This window comes from Homo sapiens, chromosome 10 (assembly GCF_000001405.40).
Source record: "Homo sapiens chromosome 10, GRCh38.p14 Primary Assembly".
Taxonomy (NCBI): domain Eukaryota; kingdom Metazoa; phylum Chordata; class Mammalia; order Primates; family Hominidae; genus Homo; species Homo sapiens.
In genome coordinates, this window is record NC_000010.11 from 71,931,684 (window position 1) to 71,951,849 (window position 20,166).

The 20,166-nt window shown below is 44.3% G+C and overlaps 1 annotated feature.

Moving 5' to 3' along the window:
• Positions 6,597 to 6,753: a silencer, noted in NCBI's record as "fragment chr10:73698038-73698194 (GRCh37/hg19 assembly coordinates)". NCBI's record gives its function as "represses an EF-1alpha promoter that drives an FKBP-Casp9 reporter gene in an ReSE screen in phorbol 12-myristate 13-acetate-treated (for megakaryocytic differentiation) K562 erythroleukemia cells {active_cell/tissue: K562(+PMA)}" and the evidence as "EXISTENCE:reporter gene assay evidence [ECO:0000049][PMID:32094911]".

The window sequence follows — 20,166 nt, forward strand, 5'->3', positions numbered from 1 at the left end:
CCCAGAAAGTCAAGTCTGCAGTGAGCCATGATCACTCCACTCCACTCCAGCCTGGGCAACAGAGCAAGACTCTGTCTCAAAAAGAAATCCCACAAAACTTTACGTTAAAAAATGTTTACAATCACCTGAGTCTTCAGTGAGTCATATGTTTTTATTGATGGAGGGTCTTGCCTTGATATTGATGGCTGCTGACTGATCAGGGTGGTGGTTGCTGAAGGCTGGGGAGGCTGTGGCAATTTCTTAAAATAAGATAACCGTAAAGTTTGCCATAGTAATTGACTCTTCAGCTCAGGAAAGATTTCTCTGTAGCATGTGATGCTATTTGATAGCATTTTACGCACAGTAGAATTTCTTTAAAAATTGGAGTCAATCCTCTCTAACCCTCCTGCTGCTTTATCAACAGAGTTTATGGAATATTCTGAATCCTTTGTTGTCATTTCAACAATGTTCACAGCATCTTCCCTGGGAGTAGATGCCACCTTAAGAAACCACTTAAGTTGATTTATCCATAGAAGCAGCTCCGCATCCGTCCAAGCTTCATGAGATTGCTGCAATTCAATCCTGTCTTCAGGCTCCGCTTCTAATTCTAGCTCTCTTGCTATTTCCACCAGATCTGCAAGTTTTTTTCCCTCCTGAAGTCTTGAACCCCCTCAGTCATCTATGAGGGTTGGGGTCCATTTCTTCCAAACTCCTCTTCATGTTGATATTTTCACCTCCTCCCATGAATCCTGAACAGCCTTAATGGCATCTAGAATGGTGACTCCTTTCCAGAAAATTTTCAATTTACTTTGCCCAGATCCATCAGAGGAATCACTATCTGTGGCAGCTATAGCCTTATGAAATGCATTACTTAAGGAGAAGAAGGCTTGAAAGTTGAAATTACTCCTTGATCCATGGGCCACAGAATGGATGTTGTGTTTGCAGGCATGGAAACAACATTCATCTCCTTGTACATCTCCATCAGAGCCCATGGGTGACTAGATGCATTGTCAGTAAGCAGTGATATTTTGAAAAAAAATATTTTTTCTGAGCAGTAGGTCTCAACAGTTGGCTGAAAATATTCAATGAACAGATAAGCTGTTGTGCAAGTTTTTTTTTTATAGAGCACAGGCAGAGTGAACCTAGCATAATTCTTTTTTTTTCCCCACTTCAATAATAATCTGATATAGTCTAGATTTAGTTTTTTTTTTTTTTTTTTTTTTTTTTTTTTGAGGCAGAGTCTCACTCTGTCGCCCAGGCTGGAGTGCAATGGTGCAATCTCGGCTCACTGTAACCTCCGCCTCCCAGGTTCAAGCAATTCTCCTGCCTTAGCCTCCCAAGTAGCTGGGATTACAGGCGCCCACCACCGCACCTGGCTAATTTTTGTATTTTTAGTAGAGATGGGGTTTCACCATGTTGGCCAGGCTGGTTTTGAACTCCTGACCTCAGGTGATCCAACCGCCTCAGCTTCTCAAAGTGCTGGGATTACAGGCGTGAGCCACCGCACCCAGCTGATTTAGCATAATTTTTAAGGGCTCTAGGACTTTTGGAATGGTCAATGAGCATTGGCTTTAACTTAAAGTCACCAGCTTCCCCTAACAACTTAAAGTCACCTGCTGCCCCTAACAAGAGAGTCAGCCTGTCGCTTGAAGCTTTGAAGCCAGGCACTGACTTCTCCTCTCTAGCTGTGAAAGTCCTAGATGGCCTCTTCTTCCCACGTAAGGCTGTGTCGTCTCCATTAAAACACCTGTTGTTTAGTGTAGCCACCTTCATCAATGACCTTAGCTGGATCTTCTGAATAACTTTCTGCAGGTTTTATGTTATGTATATGACATATTTCCTTAAACCCCATGAACCCACTTCTGCCAGCTTCCAACTTTTCTGCAGCTTCCTCGTCTCTCTCAGCCTTCATAGAATTGAAGATAGTTGGGGCCTTGCTCTGCATTAGGCTTTGGCTTAAGGGAATGTTATGGCTGGCTTGATCTTCTGTCTATACCACTCAGAAACTTTCTCCATATCAGCAAGACTGTTGTGCTTTCTTATCATTTGTGTGTTCACTGGAGCAGCTCTTTTGATTTCCTTCAAGAAATTTTCCTTTGCCTTCACAACTTGACTGTTTGGTGCAAGAAGCCTTTGTAACTGCTGTGGTTTTTCCCCACCCACCTGCACCTTAAGCTTGTGGGTTTAACCCGTCACCTAGTTTTGTTGTGGATATGATCTGTAGATCTGGGGTTTTTAAAATCCTACTTTTGTTTTCATTTGGGGTGTATTATTCTACTAGGTCTGCCATAACAGACTTACACAATGGCAACTTATTTTCTGGAGGCTGGAAGTCCAACATCAGGTGCCATTAGTTTGGTTCCTGGTGAGGCCTCTCTTCCAGCTTATAGACAGCCACCTTCTTGCTGTGTTCTCACATAGACTTTCCTCTGTGCAGGTGCAGAGAAAGGAAGATATCTGGTGTATGCTGTGTCTTCTTCTTATGAGGACACCAGTCCTATTGGATTAGGGCCCCACCCTTATGGCCTCAGTTAATTGTAATTTAGACCTTTAAATCTCCATAAAGGTCTATCTTGTTTCATTTGTGCTGCTGTAAGAAAAAAACAAGAACAAAAACACCCAAGACTATTTCCCTCCACTGGCAATGAGAAAAAGAAAAAGAAAAAAAAACAGCTAAGACTAGTTTTTTTTATTAATTTATTTTTATTTCAATAGGTTTTTGGGGAACAGGTGGTGTTTGGTTGCATGGATAAGTCCTTTTTTTTTTTTTTTTTTTTTGAGACAGAGTCTCGCTCTGTTGCCTGGCGGGAGTGCAGTGCAGCGATCTCCACTCACTGCAACCTCTGCCTCCTAGGTTCAAGCAATTCTCATGCCTCAGCCTCCTGAATAGCTGGGACTACAGGTGCATGCCACCACGCCCAACTAATTTTTGTATTTTTAGTAGAGATGGGGTTTCACCACGTTGGCCAGGATGGTCTCGATCTCTTGACCTCGTGATCCACCCCCCTCGGCCTCCCAAAGTGCTGGGATTACAGGTGTGAGCCTCTGTGCCCAGCCCCAGATAAGTTCTTTAGTGGTGATTTCTGAGATTTTGGTGCACCCATTACCCAAGCAGTGTACACTGTACCCAATGTGTAGCGTTTTTTGTTGTTGTTGTTTCTTCCTGAGACAGAGTCTCGCTCTGTCGCCCAGGCTGGAGTACAGGGGCACAATCTCAGCTCACTGCAAGCTCCACCTCCCAGGTTCAAGCCATTCTTCTGCCTCAGCCTCCCGAGTAGCTAGGATCACAGGCATGTGCCACCACGACCAGCTAATTTCTTTTGTATTTTTAGTAGAGATGGGGCTTCACCATGTTAGCCAGGATGGCCCAATGTGTAGTCTTTTATCTCTCACCCCACTTCCATCCTTCCCCACCACCCGCCAAGTTTTCAAAGTCCATTGTATCATTCTTATGCCTTTGCGTCCTCATAGCTTAGCTCCCACTTATGAGTGAGAATATATGATGTTTGGTTTTCCATACCTGAGTTACTTCAGTTAGAATAATAGTCTCCAACTCTATCCAGGTTTTTGCAAATGCCATTATTTCATTCTTTTTCATGGCTGAGTTATACGTGTGTGTATATATATATGTGTGTGTGTGTGTATATGTGTGTGTGTGTGTGTATATATATATATTTCAACATATATATACCACATTTTCTTTATCCACTTATTGATTGATGGGCATTTGGGCTGGTTTCATATTTTTGTTATTATTGTTGTTCGTGACCAAGCAGAAGTTTTGATTTTTATGTAGCTTGAATTGATCCATCTTTTTCGTTCTTTCTTTTCTTTTTTTTTTTTTTTTGTTTGTTTGTTTGTTTAGTAGAGATGAGGTCTTGCTATGTTGCCCAGGCTAGTCTCAAACCCCTGAGCTCAAGCAATCCCCTCACCAATGCCAAAGTGCTGGGATTACAGGCATGAGCCACTGCACATGGCCCTGGTGCCATATTTTTGTAATTTCAAATTGTGCTGCTATCATAATATACAATATAAACATGCATGTGCAAGCATCTTTTTCATATGACTTCTTTTCCTCTGGGTAGATACCCAGTAGTGGGATTCCTGGATCAAATGGTAGATCTACTTTTAGTTCTTTAAGGAATCTTCACACTGTTTTCCATAGTGGTTGTACTAGTTTACATTCCCACCAGCAGTGTAAAAGTGTTCCCTTTTCACCACATCCACACCGACATCAATTATTTTCTTATTTTAAAAATTATGGCTGTTCTTGCAGGAGTAAGGTGATATTGTCACATTGTGGTTTTGATTTGCATTTTCCTGATAATTAGTGATGTTGAGCATTTTTTCCTATGTTTGTTGGCCATTTGTATATCTTCTTTTGAGGATTATCTATACATGTCCTTAGCCCACTTTTTGATGGGAATATTTGTTTTTTTTTCTTGCTAATTTGTTTGAGTTCCTTATAGATTCTGGACACTAGTCCTTTGCCGGATGCATAGTTTGCAAAGATTTTCTCCCATTCTGTGGGTGAGACTAAGTAATTTATAAAGAATAGCAATTTTTTTTCTCACAGTTCTAAAGGTTGAGTAGTCCAAGATTGAGGCACCAGTAAATCTGGTGTCTGGTGTAGGCCCGGTGTATGCTTTCAAGATGGTGCCTCTTGCTGTGTCCTCACATGGTGGAGCAGATGGAAGGGCCAGGAAGCTTTCTGAAGCCTCTTTTATAAGGGTGTTAATCTTATTTATGAGGGTGGAGCCCTCTTGGCCTAATCACCTCCCAAAGGCCAGACCTCTTCATATCATTCCTTTGTTTTGGGTTTTTGTTTTTTTTTTTTTTTTGGTTTGTTTGTTTGTTTGAGACAGAGTCTTGCTCTGTGGCCCAGGCTGGAGTGCAATGGTGCCATCTCGGCTCTCTGCAAACTCCACCCCCCAGGTTCAAGCCATTCTCATGCCTCAGCCTCCTGAGTAGCTGAAACTACAGGAGCACCACCACGCCCAGCTAATTTTTGTATTTTTAGTAGAGACAGGATTTCACCATATTGGCCAGGCTGGTCTTGAACTCCTGACCTCAAACCATCCACCACCTTGGCCTCCCAAAGTGCTGGATTACAGATGTGAGCCACCGCGTCTGGCCCATATCATTATTTTGGGGGTTAAATTCCAACATAAATTTTGGAGACACACATATATTCAAAACCATAGCAGTAGGCCTTTTCTCCAAATATAGTCTCTCTGGGAGTTAAGGCTTCAACATATGAATTGGAGGTGGGGGGCACAATTGAGTCCATCACAGGGGGAATATGGAGAAAGGCAAAAACTACATTCTGCTATCTTTCATCTTCCCAGAATAAGATAGGCTCTGGAGACAGCCCACACAGGTCAGCTACCCAGGACGTGGAGCAAAGTGGAGCAATTACGGTGCTATGGTTGAATGTTTGTCCTCTCCAAAACTCATGTTTAAATTTAATCCCCAAAGTGACAGTACTGAGAGGCCTTTAAGAGGTGATTGGGTCATGAGGTCTCCGCCCATTAATGGATTAATGGATGAATGGACTAATGAGTTATCATGGATGTGGGATGGTGGCTTTATAAGAAGAAAAGAGATCTGAGCCAGCACACTCAGCCTCTTTGCTGTGTGATGCCCTGCACCACCTCAAGACTGAAGGGAGTCTCTGCTAGCAAAAAGGCCCTCACCAAATGCAGCCCCTCACCTTGGACTTCTCAGCCTCCATAACCGTAAAAAATAAATTTCTTTTCTTTACGAATTATCCAGTTTCAGGTATTATGCTACGAGCAACAGAAATGGAGTAGGACATGAGAAGAGATCAGGGGGATAAAGGAAGACGTCCAGAGCATTAGAAAGCCCCCCGTGGCTGGGTCCTGCCAACCTCTGCCTCTCTTCTCCTCATGCCTACTCCCTCCCCCTGCATGTTCCAGTGACAGAAAACTGCTTCTCATTTTCCCTGCACATACCACCCTGCTCCTGGCCTCCTGCCTTGGCTCACACAGTCTTCAAGGCCTGTAATGCCCTTCCTCCCTCCCCTACCCACTTCTCTCCATTTCAACTAAGAGCTTGTCCTTATTTTACCCTTTTGCACTTATACCTTAGGCATCTCCTTCTCTAGAAAGTCTTTCTAGATGTCCAGATGGCTGCAGGGACTTGCCTGCATGCACATGTATATATATGCATTCATGTGCACACACACACTCCCATGCCACCCACCTATGCCTCCTCATTGCACTTGCCTTATTGCATTGTAATTGTTGCTTTATGAATCCCCCCACTAGACTGTAAGCTCTCTGAGTACAAGCAAAGCTTGTGCCTCATCACTTGGAGCAGACTGGATCATTGCTCTCAATTTTTCACTCCCTTCCTGACTTATCATCATTAATTATCCAGCTATGCCATATCATGGCTTCACAGTGGGCAGAATACACATCTCTGCCTCAGTGACTTTAGATTTGGGTATGGGATTTGCTTTGGCCAATGATATAAGCAGAAGTCTTCATTGTGCCAGTGTGGTTTGGCCCATCTCCTGTATTCATACTCCTGTGATCTCTCTTGAGAAGAACATATCCCAGGGTAGCCACTGGGCCAAGTAGAGTGTGGAGATATGAGTAGACTTGAACTCAACCTAAAGCCTGGTCCTAGCGCCAGCCAACTCCTGGTCTGCAACAGAAGCCTGCAGACCCACTGACCTGTGAATGAGGAAAATAAATATTTGGTGTTGTAAACCACCAAGATTTGGAGGATGTTTGTTACATGGCATCATGGCAGCAATAGCTGACTAAGACATCATTCATCCTTGTGTTCCCAAGCAGAGTCCTGGCCCAAAAGATATTCACTGAAATAAAGAAGCAAATATGTTCATTAATCCAAAACATGTAGCATGAGTGTGCTCACAGGTCCTCTGCTACCTCTTCTTTTCAAGCAGATAGTAATGGCTTTTTTCACAGAGTTGATGTGAAAGAGCTCCTGGCACTTTGTGCTAAGTCAGTGACATTTTCCTTCCTCTCCACCCCTTGATTTCTTTAAATGAGCTCCTAGGCTAAAGATATTAGAGGCAAAGGAAGTACTCTAGGCTACTGAACCTCTGAACCCTCTGACCTCTGTCTGGGGGGAGCCTCTTTGTGTTCTTCCTCTCCCTCCTCCTCTTTTGCCCCTAGGATTCCTCCCTGAGTCACTGCCTAACTGGCTTTTCCTGGCCTAGAAAAGAGGATTTGCCCTAGATCCTGATATGGCTCAGCAACTTCCTGCCTTAAGAGGATGGGCAGCTTACATTTCTCCCTCTTGCAAGCTAGCCGATACAAGAAGTCTGTCTCCTCTGAAACCACCATGTTGTGAGGAAACCCAAGGTAGTCACATAGCTTGAGCCATAGAGGCCATATTAAGAAACAACAAGGTGCTATACATGTGAGTGAAGCTTTCTTGGACTTTCTAGCCCAGCCCAGCCCAGCTGACCGAAGCAGAGTGCATGATCTCAGTTAATGCCATACAGAGCAAAGGAATCTTCCAGCTGAATCCAGTTAATCCACAAAATTGTGAGAAATAATACATTTCTGTTGTTTTAAGGCATTAAGTTTTGAGGTAGTTATGCAACAGATAAATTAATATATGGATAAAACTTTATAATTATTTGTTATATATATAATATTACTTATTATTTCTGAACCATCTGAGAGGAAATGGCAAAAATCATAACCCTAAATTAAAGGAGACCATCTCTCATATTGTTTTCTGCCTAATTTCTGCCTCAAAGGAAAGAGAAAGTAGGAGTTAAAGAAAAGGCAGAAGTGAAATTCAATAGTCAGACAGCCTGGCGCCACACCCCAGGCCTGGTGGTTAAAGATCGACCCCTGACCTAATCACTTATGTTACCTATAGATTCCAGACATTGTATGAGGGAGCATTGTTTAACTCCCTGTTCAGTTCTGTTCTGTTATGATCACTGGTGCATGCAGCCCCAGTCACATAGCCCCCGCTTGCACAATGTATCACGACCCTTTCACTTGGACCCCTTAGTTAGTTGTAAGCCCTTAAAAGGGACAGGAATCTTGACATCGAGGAGGTCGGATCTTGAGATGCGAGTCTACCAATGCTCCTAGTTGATTAAAGCCTATTCCTTGCTAAAACGGGTGTCTGAGAGGTCTTGTCTAAGACAGGTCCTGCTACATTTCTTGGTTCCCTGACCAAGAAGCCAGGTGATTAGTGGACGGTTGAGGCAGCCCCTTAGGCGGCTTAGGCCTGCCCTGTGGAGCATCCCTGCGGGGGACTCTGGCAGGCTTTAGTGACGCGAAAAGAGCGCTCCCGGGTAGGGAATTGCCCGGGTGGAATGCCTCTCCAGAGCAGGGCATGGTAGGGCCCCGCGGAGGATTAACGCAGCGGATGAACACCGGCAAGGAATCGGCGCTTGGAGTCGCTTGGTGTCCGGACATCTGGAATATGGTAAGAAGCGGTCTTGGAACTTGCCCACTCCATTTGAGTGGAAGCCTGGCCTGATCACCCACAACGTGCTTTTATCGGTACCTTGGTTTTGGTTTTGATTTTGACTAGATTCGCACTGTTTTGGTTTAGATTTCAGTATTGACCTTCGGATTTGAACTGTTTTGGCTTTGATTTCGGTTCTGACTTGGCTCAAATTGCTTAATGAATGAGTAACTCCTTATCCGTACTTTGGTTTTAGTGTGAATTGCTTGGTTAGCGGGTGACTTTTTGCCCCCTCTCCCCTTCCCTCTTTGTGGTAAGAGTGTTGTTTTGTCTCCTGAGAGAGGAAAATGAGTAAAACACAAAGTAAGCCTACCCCGTTAGGAACTATGTTAAAGAATTTCAAGAAAGGATTCAATGGGGCCTATGGAATCGCTATGACACCTGAAAAGCTTAAAGCTTTGGTGAGATAGATTGGCCGGCATTAGAGGTGGGATGGCCATCAGAAGGAAGCCTAGACAGGTCCCTAGTTTCAAAGGTATGGCACAAAGTAACTGGTAAATCAGGACACCCAGATCAGTTTCCATACATAGATACTTGGTTGCAGCTGGTTTTAGACCCCTCACAGTGGTTAAGAGGACAGGCAGCAGTAGTAGTACTAGTGGCAAAGGGACAGACAGCCAAGGAAGAAAGAGTAGCTCCACTCCCGTCGGTCCTTTCCCTTGGGGAAGAGGAAGGAGAGAGGAGAACAGCAGAATACGCGGCTCACAGAGGCAAGGAAAGACCAGCAGAGAGAAAAAGAGAGAGAGGAGAAAGAGAGAGAGGAAAGAGAGAGAGAATACAAGAGGCAAAGAGAGAAAGAAAGACAGAGGAAGAGACAGAGAGACAAAGAGGAGTCAAAGAGAGAGAGAGGCAGAGAGAGGAAGAGACAGAGATAAAAAGAAAGTCAAAGAGAAAAAAAGAAAGTCAAAGAGAGAAAAAGAGAGATATACAAGTAGTTAAGAAAAAAACAGTGTGTCCTAGTCCTTTAAAAGCCAAGCTAAATTTGGAACCTATAATTGATAATTAAAGGTCTTCTCCGTGACCATGTAACACTCCAATACCACTTTGTTGTCAGCGTAAACAAGGGCATAGCCCAAAAGCACTGAGGCCACTGGCAATCCGTAGCCTCCCTATCAAAATTTCTTAGCCCAGTAATCCACAGATGGCCCATATACATTCAATCTGCAGCGGCAACGGCTTTGCTAACAGAAGCAAGTAGAAAAATAACTTTTAGAGGAAACCTCGTTGTGAGCACACTTCACCAGTTCAGAACTATCCTAAATTAAAAAAAAAAAAAAAGCAAAAACGTAACTTCCTGACTCAAAAATCTTAAAGTATGAGGCTATTCTGTTAGAAAAAGATGATTTAATATTAACCAATAAAAATTCCCTTAACCCAGCAGGTTTCCTAACAAGGGATTTAAATCTTAATTACCTTACAAAGGTCCGACCAGACCTAGGAGGAACCCCCTTCAAGACTGGACGATAGATGGTTCCTCCCGGGAAATTAGGGGAAAAAAAAAAAAGAGAGAGAAAAAGCGGGGGGGGGGGAGAGGGGGGCAGGGGGGAGTTTATGTAAAAAGAATGTTATATGGTAAATTCTTGTCCTAAAATAAATTAACTGGTTGTTTAAAGAAAAGGATGTTTGCAATAAGTCAGAAAATTGAGACATGTCGAAGAATTGTCTGTAAAAGTCGTGAAAGAAGAAAAAAATGTGTGTTATAAAAAAGGAATTTACGCAAGAAATGTTGTATAATTTAAAAGTAATTAGGCCTCCTGAATGTAAAACTATTGAAGAAACAGTTTATATGCAAGGTGTATGAGGAAAGTAAAATATACTTTTAGTAAAAGGATTATAAGGAGGCATAAAAATGTGGATTTTTATCTACATTAAAAAGTTAAAAAATTGTTTTTGTTTTGAAGGTTTAAGCAAGTTTTAAAACGTTAATTGTAAAAGAAATTCTGTGTATAAACATATTGGCTAAAGTTAAAGAGGTATCATCCAGTTTTTCTGTGAACTGGACATTAAAGTAAAAACACAACGGGTTTTTCTTAAAGCACTAACCTGCTCTTTAACAAAAATTATAATAGGTTAAAAAGAGTCTATAAAAATCTTACCTTATGGTCAGACATCAAAAATTGAATAAATATGTCTACAAAGTTTTATTAAAACTAAGTTTGACATTAATAACACACTAATATAAAGGTGAACTTTAGCTTATCTGGTATAAAAATCATACAGGAAGCATCGTCAGATATAAAATGGTATATGGCTTTCTTTGGCCTAAAAACTAATAAATATAGGTGCTAAAGGAAATTTCTCAGTAAAAAGGCACCAAGGACTATAAAATCTGCTGCTGATGACCCCACATTTAAAACAAAAGGTCAATTTCTTAGAAATTATATACTTGGTTTATCTTCCACTTTCCTTTCCCTCAAAACTAAAAGTCTTTTAGCACATGTACCACCCCTAGAATTTCCTGTAAACCAGCACCAGCCTGAAGATTACGTTCTCATCAAAGGGTGGAAAGAAGGAAAACTCCAGCCAGCCTGGGAAGGACCCTACTTTGTGCTGCTAACCACCGAGACTGCTGCTCGTACAGCAAAAAAGGATGGACTCATCACACCCGAGTCAAGAAAGCGCCACCCGGTCCGGAGTTGTGGGCCATAGTCCCAGGGGAAAACCCTACCAAACTAAAGCTAAGAAAAATTTAACTCTTTCATCTATTCTATTACTCTTTCTTCTTTCCTAGTTCTATTGCTGACCATCTAGTTATTAACATAACCAAGTCAATTTCGCCTCAAACTATTGCATTTAATGCTTGCCTTGTTATACCCTGTGGGGACTTGCCAAGTCTCAAAGACAGCTCTCTACTTCAGAAAAGTACCTCTGTCCCTCCTGACTGTCCTCAGACTGGGCATTAGTAAATTGGGATCATTTAATCCGGGGAGATTTTGATAGACCCCAGTGTCAACCTGGAGTATTGCCCCCTGATGTAGAGCTTTTATGCCATAGTTGGTCCAATGTTCTGTGGATCACTAAAGAGCAAGGATGACTGCCCCAACTGGTTTTTGTAATTTCCTAAAACCATACATTCATTTTACTAGAGTATCATAGAAGTTAAAGACTTAAAACAAACTTTGGCAATTAAGGCAGGATACCAAGATGCAAATGCCTGGTTGGAAAGGATCAAATATTCCGTCCGCACGTTAAACAAAAGCAATTGTTATGTTTGTGCACGTGGCAGGCCAGAGGCCCAGATTGTCCCCTTTCCACTAAGGTGGTCCTCCAGTTGACCAGGCGTGGGCTGCATGGTAGCTCTTTTCCAGGATTCCACAGCCTGAAGTAAAGGTCATGCCAAGTTCTCTCTCTGCTATATCCCGAAGTTCAGTACCCTGAGGGTCAGCCCCCAAGGGCCATCCAGCTTCCGTCTCCCAACACTAAGTTCACTTTGTGTCTCTCACAACAGGGAGGAAACTTAGTTTTCCTTGGAGACCTGAAGGGATGTAGTGAGTTTAAGAACTTTCAAGAGCTTACCAACAAGTCAGCCCTTGTTCATCTCCAAGCGGATGTGTGGTGGTATTGTGGTGGACCTTTACTGGACACTCTGCCAAATAACTGGAGTGGCATTTTTGCTTTACACCAATTGGCTATCCCTTTCACCCTGGCATTTCATCAGCCGGAGGGAAGGCAGGTGATAGAAAAAGGATGGATCTGGTTATTGGACAGAAGAATAGCCATGTCACAACTGCTAGGAGCCGCAGTTGTACTGGCTGTGCATGAGTCCACCCACCTGGGCCAAGAGTCACTTAAAAAGTTGTACTTCTACATCTTACATCTGTCAGCCCTTGGCAAAACAGTGGTGCCACAGTGTGTCACCTGCCGGCAGCACAATGCTAGGCAAGGTCCAACCATCCCGCCTGGCATACAGGCTTATGGAGCAGCCCCCTTTGAAGATTCCCAGGTAGACTTCACCGAGACCCCCAAATGTGGAGATCTCATCCCTAGGTTTGGACTGCCCTTGCAAATCGGCTCGGACAACGGGTTAGCATTTGTGGATGACTTGGTACAGAAGACAGCAAAGGCGATTGGGTATGGATCAAGGATTGGAACGTAGCCCCCTTGGAGCCACAGTGGAAAGGACCCCAGACCGCCATCTTGACCACTCCCACAGCTGTGAAAGTAGAAGGAATCCCAGCCTGGATCCACCACAGCCGCCTGAAACCCGCAGCACCTGAGACCTGGGAGGCGAGACCAAGCACAGACAATCCCTGCAAAGTGACTCTGAGGAAGATGACAAGCCCTGCTCCAGTTACACCTGGAAGCCAACTGGTCCATGCACGGCCGAAGTGTAATGAAACTCACCATGGGACTTACTTTCCTTAAATTTTGGACTTGTACAGTAAGGACTTCAACTGACCTCCCTCAAACCAGGGACTGTTCCTAGTGTATATATCAGGTCACTGAGGTAGGGCAAAAAGTTAAAACTGTCATTTTGTTCTATAGTTATTGTAAATATGTTGGAACCCTAAAAGGGACTTGTTTGTATAATGCCACCCAGTACAAGGTATGTAGCCCAGGAACTCACCAGCCTGATGTGTGTTATAACCCATCTGAGCCCCCTGTGGTCACAGTTTTTGAAATAAAATTAAGAACAGTCACCTGGTGGGGTCTAAACCATACTAAGAAAAATCCATTTAGTAAGTTTCCTAAGTTGAAAACTGTTTGGGTCCATCCAGAGTCTCACCAGGACTGGATGGCTCCAGCTGGACTATACTGGATATGCGGGCATAGAGCCTATACCAAACTACCTGACCAATGGGCAGGTAGTTGTGTTGTTAGCACCATTAAGCCATCCTTTTTCCTACTGCCCATAAAAATGGGTGACCTCCTAGCCTTCCCTGTCTATGCTTCCCGAGAAAAGAGGAGCACAGCCATAGGCAATTGGAAAAATGATGAGTGGCCCCCTGAAAGAATCATACAGTACTATGGGCCTGCCACATGGGCACAAGACTGCTCATAGGGATGCCGAACCCCCATCTATGTGCTCAACCAGATTATACGGTTACAAGCTGTCTTAGAAATAATCACTAATGGGCCAGGCGTGGTGGCTCCCGCCTGTAATCCCAGCACTTTGGGAGGCCGAGGCAGGTGGATCATGAGGTCAGGAGATCGAGACTATCCTGGCTAACACAGTGAAACCCCATCTCTACTAAAAATACAAAAAAGCAATTAGCCAGGTGTGGTGGCAGACACCTGTAGTCCCAGCTACTTGGGAGGCTGAGGCAGGAGAATGGTGTGAACCTGGGAGGCGGAGCTTGCAGTGAGCCAAGATCGTGCCACTGCACTCCAGCCTGGGTGACAGAGTGAGACTCCATCTCAAAAAAAAAAAAAAGAAATAATCACTAATGAAACTGGCAGAGCTTTGACCGTTTTAGCCAGGCAAGAAACCCTGATGAGAAATGCCATTTATCAGAATAGACTAGCCCTAGGTTACTTGCTAGCAGCTGAAAGAGGAGTTTGTGGGAAATTTAACCTAACCAATTGCTGCCTGCACATAAAGGGCAAGTAGTTAAAAATATAGTTAAAGATATAACAAAGCTGGCACTTGTGCCCGTGCAAGTGTGGCATGGGTTTGATCCTGGGACCATGTTTAGAAAATGGTTTCCAGTGCTAAGAGGATTTAAAACTCTTATAATAGAAATTATAATAGGAACCTGCCTGTTGCTTCCCTGTGTGCTGCCCTTGCTCCTTCAAGTAATAAAAAGTTTTGTTACAACTTAGTCCATCAAAATACTTCAGCACAAGTGTACTACATGAATTGCTATTGATCTGTCTTACAAGAAAACCTAGATAGTGAAGATGAAGATGAGAACTCCCACTAATAAGTGAGGTTCTCAAAGGGGGGACTAAGGGAGGAGACCACGTCTCATATTGTCTTCTGCCTAATTTCTGCCTCAAAGGAAAGAGAAAGTAGGAGTTAAAGAAAAGGCAGAAGTGAAATTCAATAGTCAGACAGCCCATCACCACACCCCAGGCCTAGTAGTTAAAGATTGACCCCTGACCTAATCGCTTATGTTACCTATAGATTCCAGACATTGCATGAGGGAGCATTGTGTAACTCCCTGTTCGGTTCAGTTCTGTTCTGATCACCGGTGCATGCAGCCCCAGTCACGTAGCCCCCGCTTGCACAATGTATCATGACCCTTTCACTTGGACACCTTAGTTAGTTGTAAGCTCTTAAAAGGGACAGGAATCTTGACTTCGGGGAGCTCAGATCTTGAGACACGAGTCTACCAATGCTCCCAGCTGATTAAAGCCTATTCCTTCCTAAAACTGGTGTCCGAGAGGTCTTGTCTAAGACCGGTCCTGCTACAAAATCTTTAATGAACAAAACTTCTGTTTATAAAACCACAGTACAGCTATCACTCAGGAAAGTTAACATTGAGACAATATTATCTATTTTGTCCCTATTCATATTTTACCAATTATCTAAATAGTGTCTTTCACAGTAATCCTTTTTTTCAGTTTCAGGATCTAGTTCAGGATGCATTTAGTTGTTGTATTAGTTAAATTTAGCTGCACAACAAACTTGGTAGCTCAAAACAATATTTGTCATCTCCGTTTCCATGGGTCAGGAATCTAGACATGGCTTAGCTGGGCTCTTGAGCTCAGGGTCTCTCACAAGACTGCAACCAAGGTGTCGGCCACAGTCATCTCAGAATTCAAGTGCAATACGATCTGCTTCCAAGCTCATTCAGTGATTGTTGGCAGGATTCAGGTCACTGCAGACTGTTGGATTTAGGGCTTCAGTTCCTGGCTGGCTGTTGGCTAGGAATTCCTCAGTTCCTTGAAACATGGGCCTCTCCAGAGGGCAGCTCACAATTTGGCAGCTTGCTTCACCAGAACAAGCAAGCTGAGAAGAGCCAGAAAGAGAATTCTAGCAAGATGGAAGTCTCAGTCCTTTGTAACCTAATCTCAGAAGTGATATCTCATCACTGACATCTGCCTATCACATGTTTATGTCTCTAGTCTCTTCTGATCTGGAACAGTTTCTTAGCCTTTTTATTGTCTTTCATGTCCTTGGCATTTTAAATATTGCAGGCTAGTTGTTTTGTAAACATCCTTTGTTTTGTAAACAGTTTGAGTCTGTTTGATGTTTCCTCATAATTCCATTCAAGCAATGCATTTTTTTCAGGAATACCTCACATTCAATGTTGTATTCTTAGTGCATCGCATCAGGAGGTTTGTCCCCTTATTAGTGATAGTAACTTGGATTGCTTGTTTAAAATAGTGCTCAAGCTCTTTCTTTTTATTTTTTTTTTTTTTTGAGACAGGGTCTCACTCTGTCACCCAGGTTGGAGTGCAATGGTGTGATCTTGGCTCACTTCAACCTAGGACTCCTGAGCTCAAGTGGTCCTCCACCTCAGCCTCCCGAGTAGCCGGGACCACAGGCATGCACCACCACACCTGGCTATTTTGTAAATTTTTTTGTAGAGATGGGGTCTTGAGATGTTGTCCAGGTCCCAAACTCCTGTGCTCAAGAGATTCTCCTGCCTCAGCCTCCCAAAGTGCTCAGATTACAGGTATGAGCCATCATCCCCAGGGGCCACTCAAGCTCCCATATTCTTAACCACTATGCAATTCTGCCTCTGGCCAGGAAAGTTCTTTCCATTTTTCAAACAGGGTAGAAAATGAGACTAATTCTCTTGGTTGAGAAACTGTGGGAAGAAATTGAGCCTGGAAACTATTTTAGGACAAAAATTCCCTATGTCCTGGATCAGACCCTCTAGCTCTCATTTGCACTCAAGATACCATCACTGGAGGCCCAAGCATTAGCTGTCATGCCAGTCCACAGCTTGGAGAACGAATGTCCTTTCACACCTGTTTTTTCTTTTTGTTACTGGTTCCTTCATCTGGAAAGCCCTTGGAGGGGCCAGTGGTGCAATGGATAACACATCTGACTACAGATCAGAAGATTCTAGAAAAGCCCTTGTCCCACCTCTACCTGTTCTCTGCCTCTAGAACTCCTGTTCATCTCTCAAGCCCAGGCCAGGGTTCAGCTCCAGAAATAAGGCTGCAGCATTGTACAATTCCAGGGGTGCCTGGCACCCCCTGGAGTTGTGCTAGCCTGTGGTTCTGCTCTGGAAACCCCTCCCCAGCCTCACCTCATGTGCACATTTTCTCATTAGTATTTGTTAAGACGTATGTGTGTCTTCTCTAGACAGAGTAGGACTAAGGCTTGTTTCCCCTGTGGACCCGGCATCCAGTATGTGCTCAACAAGGGGTGGGTTAACACGGGAATTTTTCATCCCACCACCACTCTGCCCCAAAACAGCAGCACAGTCCTTTTCTCCTTAATTTGATGGTGACACAGTTCTGGCATTTGACCTTTGTATCCCTGAGGTGCATCACAAAGTTCCCGCAATAAAATACAACACTCCAAATGTCCCAGTGGAAAGCCCCCTTATAAGGCCAGCAGGTGCAGTTAGAATGTGGCTTCTTGACAAACTTGTGAGGCTGAACCATGGCCCTCCCATCTGAGACAGAAGAGCGCTGAAAAGCTGTTGGAGAGCAGGCAGACTGATTCCAAGGCAGAGGCCACCGGTAGGGTGGGGTGGGGTGAGGGCAGCCAGGGCTGCTGAAGATGCAGACAGGGACTTGGAGGTGAGCTGGGCTCTGAATTCTCAGCAAACCTCTGGTTCCCTAGGGCAGGTCACAGAACTATTAGTAATAGGACCAAGGCCCCCAAACAGGTTTTTCTGCTAAAAGAGACTCTTTGGTCTCACAGGAGGATCTGGAGTGCTTCATCCGGGTCCCTCCCCCAGCAGTCTTGGTGGAAGCTTTAGCTGGCCTGGACCCAGATGATGAACTGGGACTTTTGACTCCCACCGACTGAGAGGCTGGCTCCTGGGAAACGTGGGTCTAAGGTTAGCTGAGAGAAAGGATGAAAGAGAGACCCAAGGTCAGGCAAGTAAGTTTATTAACCTGCCAGGCTGCTCCACCACAGTCAGAGGAGGAAGCCCTGAGCTTACAAAATGAGGGGTTTATATGAGGGAGAGAGACCCTGGGGTTGTTGGTCGATTAACTTTACCACATATCATCTTGTGACCAGCTTACAATATAGGAATTTACAAGAGGGTGTAACTTAGGTTTATCCACATTTCTCATGACCTTCCCCATGCTGCCTGTTGGGCTGTAAGCAAGTCTGGTGACCTTGCTGTAGCACCTAGATAAGGGTCCAGGAATGCAGCTTCAGAGTATTCAGGGTAAGGGTCAGCTGCATTGTGTGTGGGGGGTCCTGGGGCAGCTTGTCCCTAACATTCCAGCCTTTTAATAGGTAATAGAAGAGGGGTGCCATTGTTATCTGGCTGCTTCTTGCTGGATAGGGGCGACGGTTATGGGGAGAGTCTGGGTGGTGGGGACTGCCATTCCTGGAGTTGTCGGTATTCTTGGAGCAGCATCATATCCTGTATTGTTCCGTGGGTGAAGGCTCTAATACGGTCCTGTAAAAACTGGGTAAGGAAACATAAGAGACAAGGGCCAAATGCTAAAAGGAGGAAGAGGGTTATGGCAGGGCCTAGGAAGGGCAGTAGCCATTGTGCCCAGGAGTTACGAAACCACTGGGGCCAGGAGTCTGAAAGGTGCTGCCTGATTTCAAAAGCTTTTTCATTTATTCATCAGGTGGCATCTCACACTAGTCCTGACCAGTTAGTATAGAAACAGCACTCATCTCCTAAAAAGATGCACAGTCCACCTTTCTTGGCAGTGAGGAGATCTAAACCTCAACAGTTTTGAAGTGTCACTGCTGCTAAAGAGTCTATTTGGGATTGGAGAGCAAGGATGGATTCAGTTATATCTTGTAGGCTGTCTGAGAGATCTTTTGAGAGAGCGTGATAGTAGGACAGGGAAGTGGACAAGCCTGCTATCCTTGTTCCTGTTGCAGTGGTAATTCCTAGTCCTATAAGCAGGAGTATTAACTGTACGGCTCCACGCTGACAGACTTGAGCCTTAACAGGGACTGGTAAACTCTGATTTCCAGGGGCAATGTCAATTTTGGGGCTTAAGAAGACCAGGGTGCAGGTGCTGGTCCAATTGGCAGAGAAGCAGACATAGGTTGAGGTTCTGCACAAGAAAAATATGCCTTGGCTGGGCAGACAGAACTGGTTATGTTTATTGAAAAGGTGCGAGAGTATATTGTTTTCATTTTCCCACATGCCTGGAGTCCTTACTAAGGCAGCTCCAGTGAGTGACTGAAAAGGAGTTGCAGGGATAGTTTGAGTGGCTCCTTGTGTTTTATTTTCCCATTGGAGAAAGAATCGTTTTGTGTCTATTAGGAGCCATTCAGAGGAGTAATTGAAAGAGGGTATAAGGAGGCATTCGGCAGGGAGGGAAGCCATGCTGCAAGGGGTCCATGGGTGAATGGTTATACAGTTCGTATATCTGCCATTACAAAATCCTGAATGTTTATTTAGTAAAGAGCTGGTAATGACCTTTGGGGGTCCTGAAAAACTGACAAGCCGTTTAAATTCGGCTGTTTGGGTGACCTTAAAATTTTGGTGGTCGTTTGGGACTTGAAGCTGTAAGGTATAGTTACATTGATGGGATGGTAGGTGACCTAAAGTCAGACCTGAGGACAGGTTGTGTTGGATACATATTAGGGCTTGAAAAGTTAGACTGGTGTCGGTGGTCACAGGGCCATGAATGGGCTTGTTATTACTTGTCTGTTGGGTAAGACTGGAGATACAGGAGCGTAACAATTGTACTGTGTTCCCTGTCAGAGTGCTTTTTGTCATATCTGTGATAGAAAACTCGGCCAATAGCTGCATGTCTAAAAGTTGAAAGGGGCTTTTTCCTTCATAACGGGTGTGATAGGTTAATTAAGAACCCAGTTTTTTGAGTGAACGGGGGTGGCAACATAGGTGGTAGTTGATAGGACTGTGGGCAGAGCCCACAGTCTTTTGCTAGGATGGGGTTGGACTGGTTTAGCAGGGAGTGAGTTAGGTTAAGGGTCTTATAGAGGTAGTCGGGTACTATTGTAAGGGGAGATGTGGCTACGTGGGGCAGCCAAGGGAGTAGGAGAGGTAGACAGGCAAAGAGTGAGTAGGAAAGTAAATAAGTGCATTTCATCTGAGGAAAAGTCACATAGGGTGCCTTGGAAGAGAACGTCATCTATCCACTCTACAAGAGAGTCAAGATTGGGAGTTTGGGGATGAAACCAAGAGATGTCTTGGCAAACGGAGATGAGGAAGAGGGTGAAACAGCAAGGTAGGCAAGAACAGGGCATTTAAGAAATCAGGAGTGTACTTATGATTGTCAGGAAGGGAAGGAGGAGTCTGGGTATTGTTCAATGGTCTTCTTCAGGACAGGTGTGAGGCGGGGTTTGGTTGGGCCAAGGAGAGTACTGGAGAATCGACAGAGGATGGCAGTTGGTGGGTCGGTGGGTGCTTCGGGGGCTCTTTTTAATCTGGAAAGATGGTACCAAGAGATATGTCCTGAGAGTTTAGCTGCAGTGGGGGTATGAGAAGAACTTGAAAAGGGCCTTCCCACTTTGGTTTAAGGGTTGTTGGGTTAAGAGTTTTTAGCAAGACATGCTGTCCTGGAAGGAGATTCCGGTTGGGGGGCCTTCGTGGGGTTTTGGGAGGGCCTGGTCAGCTTGTTGGTGGAGGAGATGGTGGATGAGGGAGAGTGTTGGGAGGTATTCTCCTAGCTGAGAGT